The 23166-nt window shown below is 40.7% G+C and overlaps 1 protein-coding gene and 1 long non-coding RNA gene across 7 annotated transcripts in view, besides 4 other annotated features; one reads left to right on the top strand and one right to left on the bottom strand.

Annotated features, from left to right (window-relative positions):
- PAXIP1 (PAX interacting protein 1) overlaps positions 1-7671 on the top strand; it is a 59722-nt gene extending 52051 nt beyond the window's left edge. For all 5 annotated transcript variants that reach the window (XM_011515982.4, NM_007349.4, XM_047420059.1 and 2 more), the window contains 5 exons: positions 3358-3458; positions 4548-4682; positions 4774-4849; positions 4936-4996; positions 7197-7671. In XM_011515982.4, the coding sequence (XP_011514284.1) occupies positions 3358-3458; positions 4548-4682; positions 4774-4849; positions 4936-4996; positions 7197-7212 (389 nt within the window). In that variant the 3' untranslated portion in view covers positions 7213-7671. The remainder of the gene's footprint in view (positions 1-3357; positions 3459-4547; positions 4683-4773; positions 4850-4935; positions 4997-7196) is intronic.
- On the bottom strand, positions 1871-22844 carry PAXIP1-AS2 (PAXIP1 antisense RNA 2). 2 transcript variants are annotated; one of them, NR_024476.1, is made up of 8 exons: positions 22594-22844; positions 22337-22405; positions 6741-7334; positions 4868-5001; positions 4570-4768; positions 3588-3668; positions 3271-3463; positions 1871-2063 (listed from the first exon to the last, which is right to left on the bottom strand). It is a non-coding gene; the product is annotated as a PAXIP1 antisense RNA 2 (long non-coding RNA). The 2 variants fall into 2 exon arrangements; NR_024477.1 differs by lacking the exons at positions 1871-2063; positions 3271-3463; positions 3588-3668 and having other exon boundaries at positions 4509-4721.
- Positions 4138-5337: an enhancer, noted in NCBI's record as "BRD4-independent group 4 enhancer chr7:154737734-154738933 (GRCh37/hg19 assembly coordinates)". NCBI's record gives its function as "activates an origin of replication core promoter dependent on BRD2, P300/CBP, MED14 and CDK7 cofactors, and independent of BRD4, by STARR-seq in HCT116 cells {active_cell/tissue: HCT116}" and the evidence as "EXISTENCE:reporter gene assay evidence [ECO:0000049][PMID:35650434]".
- Positions 22214-22433: an enhancer, noted in NCBI's record as "active region_26889". NCBI's record gives its function as "activates an Ori minimal core promoter by ATAC-STARR-seq in GM12878 lymphoblastoid cells {active_cell/tissue: GM12878}" and the evidence as "EXISTENCE:reporter gene assay evidence [ECO:0000049][PMID:35858748]".
- Positions 22584-22683: an enhancer, noted in NCBI's record as "active region_26888". NCBI's record gives its function as "activates an Ori minimal core promoter by ATAC-STARR-seq in GM12878 lymphoblastoid cells {active_cell/tissue: GM12878}" and the evidence as "EXISTENCE:reporter gene assay evidence [ECO:0000049][PMID:35858748]".
- Positions 22704-22763: an enhancer, noted in NCBI's record as "active region_26887". NCBI's record gives its function as "activates an Ori minimal core promoter by ATAC-STARR-seq in GM12878 lymphoblastoid cells {active_cell/tissue: GM12878}" and the evidence as "EXISTENCE:reporter gene assay evidence [ECO:0000049][PMID:35858748]".

Here is a 23166-nt window from a genome sequence, read left to right as displayed (position 1 = left end):
CACCACAGTGAAATGTTTATTAACTGTTAATGAAGCTACATTGACATTTGGGTCATAGTCACCCAAAGTCCATAGTTACATTAGGGCTTACTCTTGGCCAGTCACCCGAAGTCCATAGTTACATTAGGGCTCCCTGTTGGCCAGTCACCTGAAGTCCATAGTTACATTAGGGCTCACTCTTGGCTAGTCACCCAGAGTCCATAGTTACATTAGGGCTCACTCTTGGCCAGTCACCCAAAGTCCATAGTTACATTAGGGCTCACTCTTGGCCTTGAACAGTCATTGGGTTTTAACAAATGTGTAAGGACATGATTTTGCTTTACAGCGTCATATGGAGTTGTTCCACTGCCCTGAAAATCCTCTGTGCTCCACCCACTCATTCCTTCCTGCCTGCTGACCCCTGGCAACCACTGATCTTTTATTCTTTCTATAGTCTTGCCCTTTCCAGAATGTTACATATTGGGAATCATACAGTATATAGGATTTTCAGATTTGCTTCCTTTGCTTAGCAATATACGTCCCAGCTTCCTCCATGTCTTTTCATGGCTTCATAAAGCATTTCTTTTTAGCACTAAATAATATTCCATTGTCAGAATGTATCTGTTCAGCCCCTCACCTACACAAGGACATCTTAGCTGATTCTAAATTTTCGCAGTTAGCAGTAAAGCTGCTAAAACATCCATGTACAGGTTTTAGTGTGGACGTAAGTTTTCAACTCCTTTTGGTAAATCAACAAGGTTGCAATTGCTTGATCATATGGTAAGAGTATGTTTAGCTTTGTAAGAAACCGCCAGGCTGTCTTCTGAAGTGCCTGTGCCATTTTGCATTCCCACCTGCAGTGAATGGGAGCTCCTGTTGCTCCACATCCTCCTCAGCATATGCTGGTGTTAGTGCTCTGGGTTTTGGCCATTCTAATAGGTGAGGTCCAGGTTACTTCTTATTTCTTTCATGGATTGTGTCTTTGGTGTTGTATCTAAAAAGTCATTGCCAAACTCAAGGTCCCTTAGATTCTCTCCTGTGTTATCTTCTAGGAGTTTCATAGTTTTGCATTTTACATTTAGGTCTGTGTTCCATTTTTGGGTCAGTTTTTTTTAAAAGAGGGTAAAGTCTGTGTCCAGCTTCCTTTTATTGCATATGGATGTGCAGTTGTTCCAGCATCATTTGTTGAAAACACTCTTTTCTCCACCTGTTTTGGTAGGTGCATGTTTTTGGGATTTTATATTTATGTGTAACTTACATAAAATTTGAGACATCAATATTATAATCAATTTCTAGGATACTCATTTCTTTTGTACTTCCATGAAAAGTTTAATGTTCAGGTTGAGTCTTTACATTGCTACTACTAAGGTAACATAACCCTGTTTGAAAAAACCAAAATCTCAATGTCTCATCTGTGACAGGATCGTCTTAGCTGTATTACTGTATTTTTCAATATTACTTTCTTTTCTTTTTAAGACAGAGTCTCACCCAGTCTGTTGCTCAGGCTGGAGTAGAGTGGTGCCATTGGCTTACTACAACCTCTGCCTCCTGGGTTCAAGCCATTCTCCTGCCTCAGCCTCCCTAGTAGCTGGGACTGCAGGCGCCCACCACGACGACGCCTGGCTAAATTTTTTTGTATTTTTTAGTAGAGACAGGGTTTCACCATGTTGGCCAGGCTGGTCTTGAACTCCTGACCTCAAGAGATCCGCCCACCTCGGCCTCCCAAAGTGCTGGGATTATAGGCGTGAGCCACCGCGCCCGGTGGTGTTTTCTCTATCATAAACATTAACTATTCTTGGTGATCTCACACAAGTTCTTCAGAAGGCATATCAGCTTTGAAAGTAACACTTCAAATATACCATCTCATGTGTAACAGTACTTTTTTTGTTCCTTTTTTAATTCATCATTTTTTGTTTTTCCAAATTTTAGACATTCTTTTTCTCCTTTCACCTAAAAAGCAGCCTTTCTATCTGCTGGTTGACTCAGGGATTGATTTTGTATTTCTGGCCGTTGGTGAACAGATCCCTGCATTTCTGTCATGATGTGGTTGCTCCTGCCCAGCAGTCAGCAAACTGGTCCATACGCTGAAAATGGTTTTTACATTTTTTAAATATTGCTTAAAAAAGAGAAGAGGAATATGCAGGAGAAATAATACATAGCCCACAAATCCTAAAATATGTATCATCTTGTCAACCCCAGTTTGCCAATCCCAAATCACTTTTCCTTGTTTTCTGCTTTTGATGTATATATTATTGGGTTTGAGCTGCCTTATTATGCTGTATGGTTGGTAGGAAATGGCGGCGGAGGAGAAATGGTTTTCTGAATATGAGGCATATTTATAGGAAGATTGAAACATTTTGTGATCTTTACCTTTTGACACATTTCTTAAAATGTTGCTATGAAAACTGAAAATCTGTCAATTATTAATAATTGTCAGAAGTCTTTAAAAATTGATAAAACTATCCTTTATAAATTGCTGTATACTTTTATATACTTGAATGTGTGTTTGGTAAATCTTTAAAGTTTGGTAATTCACATAATTGATTATGAGCCAAATGACTCCAATGTCCTACAAGTCCTTGAGGAGTTAGTGTATATATATAACATATATATATATAATATACACTTGGATGGGATTATTTGAAGCTTGTCTTTCTAGGACTGGAGATTTTAACCTGAGATCTGCGGGCTTGGAAAGTTGGTGAACTTCCTAAAATAGTCGGGGGGTAAAGAGGGGAGGAGCAGCTATGGGAAGAGGGTTCATATTTTTCAGTAATTTTTTTTTTCTTTTTTTACATTTTTGTTGTTAAAAAAAAAAAAATTACTATTATTTTGAGACCAGATCTCACTTTGTTGCCCAGGCTGGGGTGCTGTGGTGCAATGATGGCTCACCACAGCCTCGAACTTCCCAGACTCAAGCGATCCTCCCACTTCAGTCCCCCGAGTAGCTGGGACTACAGGCACATGCCACCATGCCAAGCTGATTTTAAAATTTTTCTGTAGAGATGAAGTCTCACTGTGTTGCCCAGGCTGTTCTCGAACTCCTGGCATCAAGCAGCTTTCCTTCCCCGGCTTCCCAAAGTGCTGGAATTACAGGCATGAACCACCACACCCAGCCCGTTTTTTTCAAGAGTTTATGACCCCAAATGGTTAATTACCACTGATCTAGGAGAAAAAATACCTGTCTGTCTTTTTGGTCTGGCTGTTTTTAGAGGGAAGTAAATGAAATATAATGGTGACATTTAAATATCCGAAGGCTGTACAGGTAAATGTAGCTGTAATATTATGTACCTGAATATGGGCGAGAATTTTGTGGGTCACACTTGCCACACTTCACGTGTCCACACTTTTCAGAGTATGTGCTGTTCTGTTTTCCAGATGAGCAGAACTACATTCTCCGAGATGCTGAGGCAGAAGTACTTTTCTCTTTCAGCTTGGAAGAATCCTTAAAACGGGCACACGTTTCTCCACTCTTTAAGGTACACTTTAAGGGAAAAGTAAATCAGTCCAAGTAAGCATAACACACGGACCTGCTCAAGGGAACTACCAGGTGATTTGGTGGGAAGTGCGCCTCCAGGGGAGCTGGGCTCACCCTGCATCCCATTTACCTCTTGGCTTCCTTCTTGGACATTGCCACTGGAGGTCTTCCTCCTGTGAACCACAGCACATCTCTAGAGAACTTTTCTTTACTATAATGTTTAAAAATAAGTACACAAATTTAATAAATACATCTATGAGAAATAAGTTATTCAAAGAATAGGTTTTTGAGTAATTGGTTAAGAGGCATGTTCATTTTTCTGCTTTTAATAAATCTTTAGAGGACATCGCTTACTTCGTACTATTGTCAGTAAATGTATATTCAGCTGGAGAAGATACTTGGGAAAATATTCAGTGTGTGCATAGATATAATTCAGTACTAAAAGATTTTTAAATGTTAGATAAGTGTTAGAACAGCTAGGAATTTTTTTTGTACCAAAGAACTAAGTAAATCAATAAAGATAATCGGTTCTTTAACCTTCTTAAGGAGTCAACAGGAATTAGAAATTATTTGCAGTTTCAGACAGAATAGTATTTTGTGGTATCCTCAGGAGCAATCTTGTTAGATAATTAAATCTTAAGCATCAATATCATTTCCTGCTCTGAGTTCAAATAATATGGAGAAAATAAAGAAAAGGGATATAAGCCAGGCAGCATGCTATGCCAGAGGCTGTTGCTGGGCAGATAAGTGTGGTGAAATATAATGCTGATTTAAAATTGTATAGAAATTGTGAAAAATATTTGTAATATTCTTGCTTATTCACAAAACACTTTGTTTTAGGGACTTAAGTTCTGGTTACTTTAAATCATCTTCAGGCATACTTAACATGTGAAAATGCTTACATTCCAAATTTACATAGCTGGATTCCTCTTCCACTTCAGATTGAGTGCTAGTAGGAGAATAGTACCTTCATAATGTCATAAAATTTGAAATTTTGTCAAAAATCTCAGGGCAGAATCTATGAGAATTATGTACTCTAAAAATTAAAGCATTTTAAGAACATAATACATATATTTTCATTTAATTTTAGGCAAAATATTTTTACATCACACCTGGAATCTGCCCAAGTCTTTCCACTATGAAGGCAATCGTAGAGTGTGCAGGAGGAAAGGTGTTATCCAAGCAGCCATCTTTCCGGAAGCTCATGGAGCACAAGCAGAACTCGGTGGGTAGAGTGGAGTCCGCCAGCGAGTCCGTCATTGCCCTGTATCACATTCAGCGTTCGGTCACTGAGAAACTCATTTTCTTTTCCTTAGAGTTTGTCGGAAATAATTTTAATATCCTGTGAAAATGACCTTCATTTATGCCGAGAATATTTTGCCAGAGGCATAGGTACGTTTCCCCGCTTACCTGTGTGAGTATGTGTGCACGCACAGCAGTGGATCTCTAACTAAAGTGTCTGTTTCCACCCTGTTCAGATGTTCACAATGCAGAGTTCGTTCTGACTGGAGTGCTCACTCAAACGCTGGACTATGAATCATATCCTTTCCAAAAGAGAATTAAAAAGTAGACGGGTTAGATATGAAATGGATTTCCCAGGTTAATAAGGCAGTACCTTTCCTGTTTTGCAAGCCATTTTTCCTTTCTTTGCTATTGTGATTTATGCAGTGAACAATTCTTTTCTCTTCAGAATATTCATTTGAGTTGCTAGTAAAAATATTCTCTTAACTTACTGAGAGTTCAGTTTTAATAGGTGATGTTAATTAGAAAGGATCTATACTGTCTAGTTTATGGAGGTATTAAAGAATTTGACAATTAGATAAAATAGAAAATAATTGCAAAAATAAATATATGTTTCTTTTTATCAGCTCACCTTTGAGTTTGTAGTTTTCCAAATGAAATTTAGTTCGTATATAGTCTTTGTACTCAGGAACTTTGGGATGGGAGATAAATTACTACTAAATGGAAGCGGCAGAATGAATACTTCATCAACATGTCAGGAAAATGCAAAGGTCAGTCTTTAGAATATTGACACCTAGGCTTTTTTCTATTTCAGACATTCAGGAAAAAATAAAGCTCATCATCTGTTATTTGAATTCCTTATTAAAAATCTCTGAATTATTATTTTAATGTAGGAACAGCCTATCAGTGAAGCAAAACATGCCTTACAGGTCCTTATGGGAAAATTCTGTTTCCACTTCCGTTTCCCATTGCAGAGCACCTTCTCTCAGGGCTGTTCTCAGGACTTCTCCCTGGGCCTCCTGCAATGAGGCTGGAGCTCCTCCTCTCTGTGAGGGTGGGAGCCTCTGCCACCTCTGACCAGTGTCAACCTCAGTGGACCTTTCCTTAAGCAGGGGAATTTTGTGTTTGGGATAGGACTGCTTCAGTAAGGCGCAGAGGTCAGAATGATACCCATCCTTGCCGAGTTTTTTTTTCTTCGTGTGTGCCTGTTTCATCCAGGTAATTACATTTAAGTATATTTACATTTAAATACACTGACATTCATCCAGTTAATTACATTTATCAAACATTTTCCTCTTAACGCTAAAGAGCTTATGGTTATAATAGTAGACAGAAGACCTTGATATCACTGAGAGAAAAGCACTTTTAAGAAGTAAAATTTGGCCGGACGTGGTGGCTCATGCCTATAATCCCAGCACGGGAGGCCAAGACAGGTGGATCACCTGAGATCAGGAGTTCGAGACCAGCCTGGCCAACATGGTGAAACCCTGGCTCTACTAAAAATAGAAAAAATTAGCTGGCCATGGTGGCGGGTACCTGTAATCACAGCTACTTGGTGAGGCAGGAGAATCACTTGAACCTGGGAGGCAGGGGTTGCAGTGAGCCAATATCGCGCCATTGCACTACAGCCTGGGCAACAAGAGCGAAACTCTGTCTTTAAAAAAAAAAAAAAAAAAAAAGAAGTAAAATTTGCCTCAGTCCCAGAATCCAATGTCATGTTTAGCCATAAATAAATAGCCTGTCTAGTTGGAATGAGGCTTGGTGCAGAAACGCTCTTACCATTCATACCAGAGCTTGCTGTATTCCATACCGCCATCTATTAGAAAATTATTGTAGGAGCTACTGATAGGAATGATAAGAGGCCTGTTAAATTTTTACAGATATGCTATAAGCATTTGGTTTTTATACAACATGTACTCTTGCATTTTTTCCAGACTTTTTCCTAACATTCATGTTTGTATTTGTGAAAGCCTGTTCTACACTACATTTACTTTCAGAAGAAATTGCTTTAAAAGTCATACAGGAGACTTATGAGTATTACCTTGGGGGCCTTTTTTCATATCCATAGCTTGATGAATTTTGCCCAAAGTGGACGGTTTAGAATTGCAGAGGTCACTACCTGCTCCTGCAGGTATAAGTAGGAGTCAGCTATTTGTGGTGGGGCTTTGGGGATGTCAGCTCTTGGGGGTTGTGTGTTGTACATGTTAATTTAAAGGACATTTCAGCTATTGCTGGGCCTCAGTTCTGGCCGCATGGTGGATACCTTGCGGAGCTGGCACAGGTGCTGATGTCCCCGGGCTGAGTGAGCCTGTGTGTCGGGGCTGAGGGCCTCCTGTGATGTGGGTATGCAGCAGAGCGACTGGTTTGAATGGGTAAGAAAGAGGCTGTAGCATTCCTTCAAGGGTGTCTCTGAAACTGGATGATGAATGTTGGAACCCTTGGTTTCATGTTTTTCTTTTGCCTTGTGTTTGAAAGTCGTTTTCCTCAACAAGCCTACATATAAGTTTAACTGATGGCGTCTAGGCTGCCGTGCATGTCGACTCCTGCGGTGCGGGGCTGGCTGTCTGGCTGGCGAGGAGCTGCTGCGCTTCCTTCACATGCTCTTGTTTTCCAGCTGCTTTCCTGGGGGATCAGACTGTGAAGCAGGAAGACAGATATAATAAATATACTGCATCTTTTTAAGATGTGCAATTTTATTCTGAGGAAACATAAATTATGTTTTGTATTATATGACTTTAAGAGCCCACATTAGGTTTTATGATTCATTTGCCAGGTTTTTAAATGTTTTCACAAAACTGTTACGGGACTTCAACTAGAAATAAAATGGTGTAAATAAAGACCTTGCTATCTCTAAATTATGGATGTTAAAGATTTGAAATGTTTTGTACTTTGATTATTTTTATTTCTTATACTCTGTTTTCTTTTATATTGATATCTTGCCCACATTTTAAATAAATGTACTTTTGAACTTAGAATTGAGTAATCCTTTATTATTCCACATTTTTTGCATAACTTATAATTTGCATCAAACCGGATCACATTTTAAGTAATTTCAAGACAAAATATTTTCCAGTCAATTTTTACCTCAAGAAATAATTTCTAGAAGCCAGCCATTTTTTTTGTCACCGTAATAAACTCCATCCCAGGCAGGGGTGGATTCAGATTATTTTGCAATCACTAAGCACAGGCGCAACCAGTGAGAACCAGTGACGCTACGGAACTTGCATCCATCCTGCTTCTTTCCAGACCCTGTTGCAGTACACGTCTTGTTGGATCATAGGTGTGATAAAATGGTAGGAGACCGCCTGTTTATTAAAGATGAGCAGGGCAGTAACTGCTAATATCTTTAGATCGTGCTGACCAGTGCTGTCGCAGACATTCAGAGCTGTTTTTTAACCAACATTGTGCCTCAAAATATGTCTATTTTTAAGCTTATATTTTTGTGCTTAAATAAACTTAGATACTGACTTATCTTTGAGTAGATGTAGAACTGACCTTTTCCCCTTGTGTACCACAGGTAGAATTGGTGTTGCTATAAAATATTTTAGATTCTGTAGAATCCTGGCAGTGTGGAAGCATTTCATAAATCAGAATAGAGTTTTCATTTGCAAAGTATTCAAAGTACTTCCCTACTACTTAGAAGCTTGAAGGCAAGTGACAATCATTACAGAATAAATGGGCCTTCTGGGTAGAGTATAATGCGTCTGTTTAATCTTTGGTGGAGACAGGGTGTTTATATAACCAACATACAAATATGACTGATTTGATTAACCTTTCAATTAGTGCTTTTTTTTCTAAAGCTGCCAAGAAATGATCCTTAAAAACTCCAGGAGCTGTCTAAAGCCAACTGGCTTGCACAGCTGTTAAGCATTGATTTGGTGACTAAGAGGGACTTAGATGAACATATAAAAATAAAAAGATTTCAAGTAAATACTTCTTAGAAAAAAATGATTAGATCGGACAAATTATTTCTTACATGAAAATCTCATTTAATCCTATTTTCATCTGGCTCGGTGTCATCTAATAGAAATATAATGGGAACAATGTGTAATTTAAACATTTTTAGTAGCTACAATAAATGTTTTAAAATTAGTTTTAATATGTAGACAATACATCCAAATATTGCTTCTGCCAGAAGTAATCAATATTTTTAGAAATTACTGAGATATTTTTACTGTTTGAGGGATGCCAAGTCTTTAAAATCCAGTGTATATTTTACACTTAGACAACATCTCAATTCTGAAATTTTCATTGGAAGTACTTGATCTGTTTAGATTTCACACCACTTAGAGTTGAAAAAGGATATTATGTATGTTTATATACTCAAATTATTCAAAAGATAGTTAAGTGTCTTCCAATAACTGAATTAATGCCAGTTTTGAAGTTAACATAAAGTGCAATTAAAAAATGGAGGTCCTTCCCTTGCACTAGGTACTTTTCCAGCGTGCAGTGACCAGGGGTGGCTGATCATTGAGAAGATGAACAGCTGTCCATCACCGAGCTGCCACCTCAGTATACCCTGAATTCTGTAACACTGGCAAGTAAGAATGGCAAGCAATGTGAATGCCAATGATGAAGACATAGATAATCCATCCAAATCATCCCAAGATTGTTTCTTTGTGTAGGATAATTAAAAGTATCTACCTGATAGCTCACAAAAAGTGTGTTTTTAATCTATCTGCTAGGTATTGAGAGGAAACTTGGAAGAAATACTGCGTATCCTAGCTCTAGGAGTTTAGTCTCATTAGGAAAAGTTAAACAACATATGTCAATCTAGCAAATATTTGGTAATTTAAGGAAATATTTGAATAGTAATAGCTGCACAACTTTATTTTTAAGAAATATTTTAGCATAGAAAGTTAAATGAAGATAATTGTATCCTCAGCTCTTTAAACCTCAGTGCTGCTCCCCATGAAGCTCTCCCAAATTACTTTGTTGAATTAAAAAATAAGTGTGTAATTACGTACTAACTTTGTAGAAAGTTTAGCTACCTCCTGAAATGAACCACATGTGTCCCCGAAGAGTTTCTCTCGCCCACCGCCCAGCCGCTCCATCTCTGAACTTCAGTGTTGCTGGGCTTGCTCCTCAGCCGATTCCACCCTCTAGGGGTGCAGCTAAACACAGGTCACCTCTCCTTATTTCCAAGGTTTGTTCCTCCAACTGCAGAGCTGTTCATATCTACCTCTCCCCACGCTCACTGTGTTCATTTCTTTTCCTCTTGTAAATGTTAGCAAGGTTTTACATTTGTCTCCTTTTCTCCAGTCGCTTTCCTTTCAGGTTGACCTCTGTACTGTTCCAGGAGTAATTTTCCTGAAATAAGATTCTGTTTCTCATATTAATGCTAAAAAGAAAGAGTCCAAGATGAGATGTTTCACATCTTTTTCTTTTTTTTTTTTTTTTTGAGATCGAGTCTCACTCTAGTGCTAGCTGGAGTGCAGTGGCATGATCTTGGCTCACTGCAACTTCCACCTCCCGGGCCCAAGCGATTCTCGTGCCTCAGCCTTCCAAACAGCTGGGACTACAGGTGCGTGCCACCACGGCCAGCATCTTAATCTCTTGTAATGTCACCATCCCACCCCCTTACTCCCATTAGTCACATGGAATCAGTTGTGATTACCCAAGCTTGCCAAACACTTCACAGGCCTCTCTCACTTTATATGCTATCTCTTCCTATTAGAAGAACTCCCATTCCTATCTGGCAAGCTTTCCCCTCATTTAGACTGTAAGGCCTTCCTGATCTTTATAAACATTCTTTCTAGTTTCCTCCTCTTTGTGTCCTCAGCCCTCTCTGATACAATGGAATAGATGTCTTAGAGGTGAGTGGTTACTTGTTCGCACTCTGTTTCTCTCTGCGTTAATGAAGCCTCAGAGACAGATTGAGGCCTTCTTCACCTATGTTATCTGTGGTAGGTGGAATTATAGCCCCCCAAAGATACCCTAGACCAGCAGCCCCTTACCTTTTTGGCACCAGGGAGTGGTTTCATGGAAGATAATTTTCCCATAGATTGGGTAGGGGTTTAGGGTATGTTTCAGGATGAAACTGTTCAACCTCAGATCTTCAGGCATTAGATTCTCATAAGAAGTACGCAACCCAGATGCTTGGCATGTGCAGTTCACAATAGAGTTCGTGCTCCCATGAGAATCTAATGCTGCCAGTCATCTGATACGAGGCAGAGCTCAGGCGGTAATGCTCACTCGCCCACCTCTCAGCTGCTGTGCAGCCCAGTTCCTAATAGGCCGTGGACTCGTACTGGTACGTGACCTGGGGGCTGGGGAATCCCTGTCCTAGACCTAATCCCCAGAACCTGTGGCTTCTATGTTAGCTTAGTGGCAAAAGATACTTTGCAGGTGTGATTAAGGTTGAGGACCTTGAGATGGGGCGATGAGCCTGCATTATCCAGGAAGGCCCAAGCGAGCCATGTGAACCCCTCACAGTGGAAGAGGAAGGCAGAATTATCCAGGAAGGCCCGAGTGAATCACGTGAACCCCTCACAGTGGAAGAGGAAGACAGGAAAGTGGTTTGGAAAATGGGACCTTAGTCCTACAGATGCAAGGAACTAAGAGTGATTTTACTCCAATGAGACTCCACCAGACTTCTGACCTATAGAACTGTAAAACAATAGTTTTTAGTTGTTCTCATTTAAGCCACTAAATTTGTGGCAATTTGTTACAGCAGCAATAGAAAACTGACAGTATCCCAAATTTTTGTAGATTGCTTGGCATTTTATAGGCATTTGCTCAAAATGTGTTGAACTAAAATTATCAGAGGGAAAATAAGGAATAGTTTTAATTTTTTGTGGGGGGAGGGGATATAATAAAAACTATTCCAGAAAGATTAATTTGAAAGTAGACACAGTGAAGGCAGGTAAGTGAACAAAACATGTTGGATTCACCTCTATAAGAAGTAGTAAGACCTGGAATTAGGATAGACTTAGAGAAAAAGGGGGTGTTTCAAAGGAAAACAACATCGCTTTGTTCATGATTTAAACTAAAAATTTTACATTTGGAGAAAAGAAATTAGTGATAATGATATAAACAATGAACTTGGTAAGGCAGCCAGAGAAAATTTTATAGTGAAATTAAGGCTGCAATTTGGGTAAGCATGTAAGCTGAGTTCCGTTACTGGGGAGTTATCATAGTGGCATTAGGTAATTGTAGGTCAACACTCCCTAATTACCCTTTGTACTGCCAAGGACTGGGGCTTGAAGACCAATTCTCAGTGGTCAGTGGAAGATATCAAAGGAATGGTTGACAAGGTGAGATGAGAATTTTGATGGTATGAGACCTCAAGTGTTCAGGGAGACATTTGTATCTCTGGCAATATGGTGGGCAGCTACCTTGACTAGTTATCCTTCTGATAATGAAAAATGGTGACCTTAGATATAGAAAATAAACCCATGAGCTGGCAAAACAGGAGTACTCAGGCCAAGAACTAAGTAAAGATGAAAACTCAGGGACTAGCTAAGCACTGAGGCCATTGCCTTGAGAGCATTTGTCCAAGCAGCTGAACTTGAGTTTCACAGCCTCACTGTGGAGAAGGTAAGTGTTCAGGACCTGCCCAAAGTGAGGAGTGAAATAGAAGATCCTCCTTCCCTAAGACTGGAACCCCAAAGGGCTATGCCCTAGGTATAAATATGAAATAGAAATAAACATAAATCTGCCCCCAACAACCCTGGGAGTCACTGCCAGTCTTGAACCTTAGGGCTGCTGCACTAATTCACAATACGTGGATGGTCCAAAAACCCTTCAACCTCAGAATTTAGGCTAGTAGCACCCTAAAGCAATTGCATAAGGAATTACAAATCCTCCTTGGAGATACCCCCCTCCCCATCTTGGACTAAACACATACTTATCCCACAGAGAAAATAGCAAGGAAGCAAGGCATCATGAACAAAAATGGGCACACACCAGACACAGAAATAGGAAATAGAGCCACATAATTTGGAATTATGAGAGAACACAACAGAGTTAATATCTCCTGAGGCAGGCTTAAAATATTAGCAGGAAATAAGAAACTATGAAGAATGACCCAGCAGATTTGAAAAAGTATCAAAAGGAACATGTAGAAATAAAATATAATTAAAATATAAAGCTTAATGGGGTAGTTCACAGGTGACATGATCTTATATGTAGCAAACCCTAAAGGTATGTAGAAACCCTAAAGATACCACCAGAACAAACAAAAACACCAACCTGACAGAACTAATAAACCAGAAAATACAAAGTCAACACGAAAATCAGTTGTGTTTTTATATACTAACAATGAACAGTCTGAAAAGGTAATTAAAACAATTCCATTTACAATAGCATTAAAAAGAATAAAATACTTGGGAATAAACTTAACCAAGGAGGTGAAAGATGTGTATGCTGAAAACTACAAAATATTGATAAAAGAAATTAAAGAAGATACCAATAAATGGAAAGACATCCCATGTTCATGGATTGGAAGACTTGATATTGTTAAGATGTCAATACCAACCAAAGCAATCTATGGTTTCAATGCAATCCCTATCAAAATCTCAATGACGTTTTTTCCAGAAATAGAAAACTTGACCATAAAATTCACATGGAATCTTAAGAGTGAACAGCAAAAATAATCTTGAAAAAGGAGAACAAAGTTGGAAGTCTCACTTCCTGATTTCAAAATATTATAAAGTGACAGCAATCAAGACAGCATGATGTTGGCATAAAGACTTATTGACCACTGAAATAAAATAGAGAGTCCTGAAATAAACCTTTGCACATAGGGCCAAATGATTTTTGGCAAGGGTGCTAAGATTTTCAATGGGAGAAAGGACAGTCATTCTAACAAATGCTACTGGAAAAAACTGGATACCCACATGCAAAAGGATGTTGCTGGAACATTACCTTTCACCATGTGCAAAAATGAACTCAAAATGAATCAAAGTCCTAAAGCTAAGAACTAAAACTATAAAACTCTTAGAAGACAACATAGAAAAGCTTCATGATATTGGATTTGGCAGTGACTTCTTGGATACAACACCAAATGCATAGACAACAAAAGAAAATATAAATTGGGCTACACCAAAATGTAAAATGTTTATATATTAAAAGACAACAGAGTGAAAAGGCAACCCATCAGATGGGAAAGAATGTTTGCAAATCATATATCTGATAAAGGATTAATATCTGGAATATATAAGGAACTCCTATGACTCAACAGCTAAGAATCAACTTAATTAAAAAATGGGTAAGAGACTTGAAATAGACATTTCTCCAAAGAAGGCATATAAATGGACAATAAGCACATGAAAAAAAAGAAAGCTCAGTGTCACCAATCATTAGAGAAATGTGAATTAAAGTCACAATAAAATACCACTCCATGTTGGGAGAAAGGCTTATGGGGTGCCTGCATAAACTGGCCATAAAAATATGAGACAATAAGTTGCGGAAAGCCACAAGAGGCCTCTGAAGAAGAAAGCCTTCTTATAGCCACTATGTTCCCATGCTCTGAGCAAGACTTGCTCTCTTATCCATAAACACTGTGTTCAAGGAGAAAGACACTCCTATGAAGCATTAGAATGTGGCTAGATATGCAGGCTCCTAGTTAAGCCCGGTCCCAACAAGTAACTAAAGATATACTATTTGAGCACAAAGGAGATTCACTTAAACCGCCACTGCTATACATTACACGTATAACGCACTGTCTGCCTTTCCCCATTTCACCCCTGAACCCCTGCTTCTCAGATCTAAGTGATTGTACTCAATAAATAGTGTGGAAACCAGAGCTCTGAGCCTTTTGCAGCCTCCACATTTTGCACTGGCCCCCAGCTCCCCACCTTTCACTCTTAACTTGTCTCTTCTCATTCCTTTGCCGCCACCAAACTTTGGGTACCCGTGGGTGGCGTTGAGGCTGGACCCTAACAACTCCACACTCATTAGAATAACTACTGTCAAAAAAAAGCAGGAAATAACACATGTAGGTGAGGATTTGGAGAAATTGGACATGTGTGCACTGCTGTTGGGAATGTAAAATGGAAAACAGTATAGCATGCCCTCAAAAAATTAAAAATAGTATCAACATATGATTTAGCAATCCCACTTCTGGGTATATACCCAAAACAATTGAAAGCAGGGGCTCCTCAAGATATTTGTAAGCCCATGTTTATAGTAGCAGCATTCACAATAGACAAAAGGTGGAAGCAAACCAGGTGTTCATCATTAGATGAATGAATAAACAAATGTGTTCTATTCATACAAGGGCATATCATTCAGCCTTAAAAATATCACTCAGCCTTAAAAAGGAAGAAAATTCTAACACACACTACAACATGGATGAACCTTTGAAATATATTGCTAAGTGAAAGAAATCAGTTACAAAAGACACATAGTGTATGATTTATCCTACACTTCAAAATATAATGCTAAGTGAAAGAAATCAGTCACAAAAGGCAGATAATGTATGATTCCACTTGCATGAGGTTCCTAGAGTAGTCAAATATAAAGACACAGAAAGTAGAATGGTGGTTTCCAGGGGCTGGGAGAAGCGTGGAGAGTTATGTAATGGGCATAGAGTTTCAGTTTTAAGATGAAAAAAGTAATGGAGATGAGGTGGTGATGACTGCACAACAATGTGAATGCACTTAAAAGTAACAAACCTGTACACTTAAAAATGGTTAACGTGTTAAGTTCTGTATTGTGTATATTTCATCACAATTTAAAAACAAGGAAATGCAGAGCACTAGTTTAGCCAGTGAACTGATGACAAGGAGGTTGGCCAAGGGGAGATTCTGTTGGGAATTCATATTTAGCTCTTCCACAGGACTTTCTTTAAACTTCTCTTAAACCTTGTGTTCAAAACCTGATATGGTCTGTCTTTGTGTCCCCACCCGAATCTTATCTTGAATTGTAACCTGAAATGTAATCCCCACGTGTTGGGGCAGGGACTTGGTGGGAGGTAAATAAATCATGGGAGCAGTTACCCCCATGCTATTCTCATGATAGTGAGTGTGTTCGCATGAGATCTGATGGTTTTATAAGGGGCTTTTTCCCCTTTGCTCAACACTTCTCCTTTTGGGCACCATGTGAAGATGGACGTGTTTGCTTCAACTTCTGCCATGATTGTAAGTTTCTCGAGGCCTCCCCAGCCCTGTGGAAGTATAAGTCAAACCTTTTCCTTTATAAATTACCCAGTCTCCAGCAGTTCATTATAGCAGTGTAAGAATAGGCTAATACAGTAAATTGGTACCACAGAGTAAGGTGCTGCTATAAGGATACTCAAAAAATGTGGAAACAACTTTGGAACTGGTAATAGACAGAGATTGAAACAGTTTGGAGGGCTCAGAAGAAGACAGGAAAATGTGGGAAAGTTTGGAACTTCCTAGATACTTGGAGGGTTCAGACGACAAGGAGATATGCGAAAGTTTGAAACTTCCTAGAGACTTATTGAATGGTTTTGACCAAAATGCTGATAGTGAGGTGGACAATGAAGTCCAGGCTGAGGTGGTGTCAGATGGAGGTGAAGAACTTGTTGGGAACTAGAATGAAGTTGACTCTTGCTATAGTTTACCAAAGAGACTGGTGGCATTTTGCCCCTGCCCTAGATATCTGAACTAGAGAGGGATGATTTAGGGTATCTGATGGAAGAAATTTCTGAACTTTAGAAATTTCTTTAGAATTCTGTTTTAGAATTTTGACTTCTAAAGCAAAGCATTCAAGAGGTGACAGAGCATAAAGTTTGGGAAATTTGCAGCTTGACAATGCGGTAGAAAAGAAAAACTCATTTTCTGGGGAGAAATTTAAGCCAGTTGCAGAAATTTGCATAAGTAACGAGGAGCCAAATGTTAATCACCAAGACAATGGGGAAAATGTCTCTGGGGGATGTCAGAGACCTTTGCAGCAGCCCCTCCTATCACAGGCCTGGAGGTCTAGGAGGCAAAAATGGTTTCATGGGCCAGGTCCAGGGCCCCCCTGCTGTGCGCATCCTGAGGACTAGTTGCAATGCATCCCAGCTGCTTCAGCTCTAGCTGCGGCTAAAAGGGGCCAAGATACATGCTCAGGCAATTGCTTCAGAGGGTGAAGCCCCAAGCTTTGGCAGCTTCCACATGGTGTTAGTCCCTCAGGTGTGCATTAGACAAGAATTGAGGTTTGGGGACCTTCACCTAGATTTCAGAGTATGTATGGAAACGCCTGGATGTCCAGGCAGAAGTCTGCTGCAGGGGTGGAGCCCTCATGGAGAACCTCTGCTAGGGCAGTGCTGAAGGGAAATGTGGGGTCAGAGCCCCCACACAGCATCCCCACTGAGGCATTGCCTAGTGGAGCTGTGAGAAGAGGGTCACCATCCTCCAGACCCCAGAATGGTAGATCCACTGATAGCTTGCACCATGCACCTGGAAAAGCCAAAGACACTCAAAGCCTGCCGTGAAAGCAGCTGGCGGGGGGTGGGGGGCTGTACCCTGCAAAACCACAGGGGCAGAGCTGCCCAAGGCTGTGGGAGCCTACCTCTTGCATCAGCGTGACCTGTATGTAAGACCTGGAGTCAAAAGAGATCATTTTGGTGCATTAAGGTTTGATGACTGCCCTATTTGATTTCAGAGTTGCATGGGGCCTGTAGCCCCTTCATTTTGGCCAATTTCTTCCATTTGGAACAGGCGTATTTACCCAATGCTTGTACCCGCATTTATCTAGGACGTAACTAACTTGCTTTTGATTTTACAGGCTCATAGGTGGAAGGGACTTGCCTTGTCTCAGAAGATACTATGGACTTGGGCTTTGGGGTTAACGCTGAAATGACTGAAGAGTTTGGGAAATCACTGGGAAGACATAATTGTGTTTTGAAATGTGAGAAAGACAAGATTTGAGAGGGGCCAGTGTGTATAATATGGTCTGGGTCTGTGTCCCCACCCAAATCTCATCTTGAATTGTAATCCCCACATGTTGGGGGAGGGACCCAGTTGGAAGTAATTGAATCATGGGAGCAGTTACCCCCATGCTGTTCTCATAATATTGAGTGAGTTCTCATGAGATGTGATGGTTTTATAAGGGGCTGTTCCCTCTTTGCTCGATGCTTCCCCTTCCTGCTGCCATGTGAAGAAGGACATATTTGCTTCACCTTCCACCATGATTGTAAGTTTCCTGAGGCCTCCCAAGCCCTGTTGAACTGTCAGTCAATTAAACCTCTTTCATTTATAAATTACCCAGTCTTTGGCAGTTCTTTACAACAGCATGAGAACAGACTAACACAAAACCCAACATCCACATATAGAATTAAATAATAGGCCAATGTACCTCTGTGTATGTGTGTTACTGTGTGTGTGTGTATGCTTTTTTTTCTGTGTCTTTTATCATACTAAAAAAAAATTTGGCCTAGAAAAGATTTAAAATTTACCATGGTAAAAAATAAAAACCACCAGCCATAATGCCTGGAGAAGGATGTGTGAACTGATGGTGGAGGGCCCTCCAAGAATCTGTGCCTCCGTAAGAGAAGGGACGTAGCATAAGCTGTCAAAATCCACTTTTTCAGAACTCTGGATATTAACAATAGGATTGGAACAATTCAGAGTGTTAGTTAAAGAAAATGGCTGAAACTCAGTAAACAGCAGGCTTTGTGGAATTTTAACTTTGCCTCTTCCCCAGTCCCACCCCCTCAACCACCATCAGCTCTGCAGCAGCCTTGAAAAACAGCAGCCTTGGAACTGTGGTAGTAGTGAAAACCAACAGCCTAATGGACGGACTAGAGGGGCAGGACAGCTTCAGAGCCCCAAAAACCTCATTCCCAGAGAATCATCAATCTTTCTCCTGGGCTGGCAGCTCCTATTCAAGCCCCATTCACAAGGCTCACCTTTATTTGACCTGATTCAGATCTCCCAGTGAGGAAAGCCCCATCCCCAGGGTGTTTGTGAAAATCAATCAGCACTAACTGTTCAACATCCCAGCTGTCAAAAGTGGTGGTGCCACTTAGGGCAGATAAGAAATTGGATATAAAAGGCCGGGCATGGTGGCTCACACCTGTAATCCCAGCACTTTGGGAGGCCAAGGCGGGAGGATCACAAGGTCAGGAGTTCGAGACCATCCTGGCTAAAATGGTGAAACCCTGTCTCTACTAAAAATACAAAAAATTAGCCAGGCGTGGTGGTGGGCACATGTGGTCCCAGCTACTCGGGAGGCTGAGGCAGGAGAATGGCGTGAACCCAGGAGGTGGAGCTTACAGTGAGCCAAGATCGTGCCACTGCACTCCAGCCTGGGTGACAGAGCGAGACACCGTCTCAAAAAAAAAAAAAAAAAAGAAAGAAAAAAGAAATTGGATATAAAACTTACAAGGAAAGTCTAGGGACAGAGATATTCTTAGGGGCTTTGAAAAGCTCCAACTTATTCCTGGGGGATTAGAAGGCCTCCTGTGTGCACGGCTGCATGCAGGCCCAAGAGAGACCAGGAAGGCCCTAAGTACTTACTCCAGTGGCTCTTGAGGGTCTGATCAAGCAGGAGTGAAGACTAAGGTGGAGTTGTGAATTGCAGGGACATTGAAGACATACCCTAACAAACAGCCCATGAGCAAGGGGAGGCTTATTGGTTGAAGGCATTTAAGGAATTCTCTGTCCAATCATTAGCTGACCACTAAGCTAACCAAGTAAATACTTTAGTGGCTGCACACAAAAAAGAATACAGACTTTACAATACCAATCCAGAAACATCACTAAACAAATAAACCACCACCACAACAGCAATCACAAAAACAGCAACAACTCTAATTTCCAGAGTCGATATATTATTTAAAGTGTCTAGTTTTCAACCAAATAATTAGGAGACACACAAAAGAACAGGCAAGTATGGCCTATAAACATAAAAAAGTAGTCAAAAGAAATTGTCCCAGAGTAAGCCCAGATGTTGGACTTATTAGACAAAGACATTAAACCAGGTATCAAAAACATGTTCAAATAAAAGAACTATGTCTAAAAAAATTAATGGAAGATATGAAAGTTATTCCACACCAAATAGAAAAAAAATGTCATTTGGAAATTATGATGAACAATAAGAACATTTTGTTATATATATTCAATAATAAATCTATCTATCTATCTATGTATCTACCTACCTATCTATCTATCTATGTTGGACCAGCAATTCTATTTCCAACAAAAATGTGTACACATATTCATCCAAAGACATGCAGCAGCCCCAAACTAGAAACAATGTTAAATGTCCATCTACAGTAGAATGAAATAAATACTATTATAGTAATGCAATAAAATATTATAATAACAATAAAAAGAAATGAACCATTGGTACAAACCACAATACAGATGAATTCCACTGGGAGAATATCATACAAAGAAGTTAGACAGAAAGTAGAAATACATACAATATGACTTCATTTATATAAAGTCCAAAACAGGAGAAACCACTGACAATACAAATCAGAGTTTTAGTTACTTTTGGGGAGGAGTGTGAGATTAGTGACTAGTAAGGGTGCATACATAGTTTCTGGGATGCAGGCAATGTTTTCTTCACACAGTTGGTGGTTACATGCGTGTAGTCACTCTGTGATAGTTCATACAATGCTATAATGTGTATACTTTTGTTTGCTGTACTTCAATAAAGAGTTAGTTAAAACAACAACAAAACACTTCTGTTTCTAGTATCTCAGGAATTGGAAAATTATAGTCCCTGGGCCAAATCTGGCCACCTGCTATTTTTGGAAATAAAATGCTAATGCGACCCAGCCACACTCATTCATTTACAGATTGGCTATGGCAGCTTGCATGCCACTACAATGCAGCGTGGATTTCATGGCCTGCAAAGCCTGCAATATCTACTACCCAGCCCTTTACAGGAAAAGTTTGTCGATCAGTGCTCTAGCCAGGCCTTGCTCCCATTCTTCAAACTGGCTCTTTCAAGCCTTCGTTCTCAAACTCAAATGCCAATCAGACTTTTTTTTCTCCCAGCAATTTTGAATTAGGACACAGAAACTGACTGGGTTAGGTGTTGTAGAGAGCAAAGCTGGGAGGTCACATGAAATGGAGGGCTGAGGCTGCCATGCGTCAATAAACACGATAGGAGGTGTGCAGAGTCTCACGTGCAGAGAGGAAGGTGAGTCAGGCCTGCAGGGCACAGGCAGGAGACCAAGAGCTCTGCAAAGGTGCTGAGGAAATCAGAGCGGGGCATCCTCCCTCTGCTTTCCAGGACTTGGGAGGCTCAGTCCTCTATTCCTGCAGCTAGTGTCATGAGCTTTCCCCAGCACAAACCCCAAACCCTTATCTTTGTAGTTCTTCGAGTGGCACGCCTTGTTACTGATGATCGCTAAGAGGAACATGGTGTTCTTCAGGCTGGGGAGAGGGCTTGATGCATGGTACATGAGGAAGGCAGTGCTCTCCAGCCAACAATAAACAAAGAAAAATTAAAACATGGATGCTTTGGTTGCCAAGAAGAAATGAAAAAGTAACATTAAGATTCAAAGACTTTTTTTTCATATCAAGACCCTCAATAAAAACCAATTTCAGCCAGGCATGGTGGTGCGCACCTGTAGTCCAGCTACTCAGGAGGCTGAGGCAGGAGGTTCGCTTGAGCCCAGGAGTTTGAGTCCAGCTTGGGCAACAGAGTAAGACCTCTTCTCTAAAATAATGAAAAATCTAACAATGACATTTTGAAAACTTTCAGAATTATTTAATCTGATTAGCCTAATCTGTATATTGAGATTAGTAAAGGTAGGTTTTGTTTTGTTTTCCAATCAGGAATATCCTCGCCTCTCCGTCCCCCCTGTATATACCTGGGAGCCTGAGAATGTATTTTAGTGCTACCATGGGAGGAAGGAGAAAGAATGACTAAATGGTTCATAAAACCAAACAAACCCTGAAGGTTCACGCCATTCTGCCCAGTGGGCCCTGTGGAACTTCGTGGGGCTTGTGGTTTAGGCTTCAGAGCTTTGGGGCTTCTGGGGTTTCTGTCTATATTATTCCTGCCTGGATGACATAGTGAGGTCTTCACTGCTGGAGAAGGGAGGGCTGGTGGGCCAGAGGGGAGACCCTGCAGAGGTGTGCAGTGTCCTTCTCTGCTGTTCATCTCAACCCGCTGTGTTAGGAAACCAGGAGGAAGCCCTACCTGGAATGAAACAGGTGCCTAGAATGAAGAGGGTAAGGACAAGGTTTAAGACTGTGACACCTGTTGCTTAAGAGACGCATTTAGGAGTGTGGCATGTAGATCCCAAATGTCCGTTTTGTAAAAGTTGTTGTTATTGTTTCACTTTTGTTGTTGTTGTTTGTTTGTTTTGAGATAGAGTCTCACTCTGTTGCCCAGGCTGGAGTGCAGTGGTGCAATCACAGCTCCCTGCAGCCTCAACCACCTGGCTCAAGCACTCCTCCCACCTCAGTCTCCCGAGTAGGCGGGGCCACATGTGTGCACTGCCATTCCTGGCTAAGTTTTCTTTTAATTCTTTGTAGAGACAGGGTTTCCCTATGTTGCCCAGGCTGGTCTTGAACTCCTGGCTTCAAGCAATCCTCACACTTCAGCCTCCTAAAGTGCTGGGATTACAGGCGTAAGCCACCACGCCCAGCCTGTTGTTATTGCTTTGAAGGAGTTCAGGAAATGCCACCCCCATGGCACTTGGGAGTGCTGATCCCTGTGAGCTGAGGGCACTTGGGAATCAGCGGATGCAGGCAGAGGTTTCCTCTGAGCTCCCCTTACCTGCCTGAAGACGGATCCTCCAAAAGGAACTCAGCTGTCATGAATCGCCTCCCCAGGAATCTCGTCAATCTGGGAGGATTAACACAGATCACAGGAGAGGACACTGGAGGTGACATCAGCCCAGATGACTATCACCCGTTCTCCCGAAGGCGGCTCTGAGATGTTTACGACCTCAGAGACATTTCATCCACAGAGCAGCACAACCTTTACTCACCAGACAGTCCCTCCCCAGGCTCTCCCATCACTTGTGTTCTCACCTCCCCTGGAAGCCCCGGGAACTTCGAAGTAGGCTTCTGTGGACTCCTGCCACTTCATCAGTAGCTGGGGCCCTGGTACCAGCACAAACTGCTTGCATCCAACTGACTTCACCAGACATACGGGCGTCTTTGGTAAGACCGCTCTCAGGTTTTGAATCTCCCAGGTTTGGGCTGAGATTCAGATTTTATTTAAGTAAATGAATTTCATGCTCAGTGGGACTGATATTGAAGCCGCCATTTAGGGCTTTAAGGCAGGAGTTTCGCGTCATTTCTCTAAAGATTCTGCTATTGGCAGGTTTGTGGTTTCACTTTTCTATTAGGTTAAGTTTTCGTTCGTCTTACTTGCTCTTTTGTAACCTTTTCTCTCATTGGACATTTTACTTGCTCAAGTTTGTAACCTTTTCTCTCATTGGACATTTTTTTACTTGCTCAAGTTTGTAACCTTTTCTCTCATTTGACATTTGGTTAAAGAGAAAGCAGTTTTCTTTGTAAAAGGAGAAAGTGAATGTTTGTGGCTTAAGCCAAATTTGTGGCTTTAAACCAGCCAGGCTTTGGATCTTGGTTAACATTGAG

The sequence above is a fragment of the Homo sapiens genome, chromosome 7 (assembly GCF_000001405.40).
Source record: "Homo sapiens chromosome 7, GRCh38.p14 Primary Assembly".
In the NCBI taxonomy this organism is placed as follows: Eukaryota; Metazoa; Chordata; class Mammalia; order Primates; family Hominidae; genus Homo; species Homo sapiens.
Note: the sequence above shows the minus strand (reverse complement) of the source record. Positions and strands in the feature narration are given on the sequence as shown.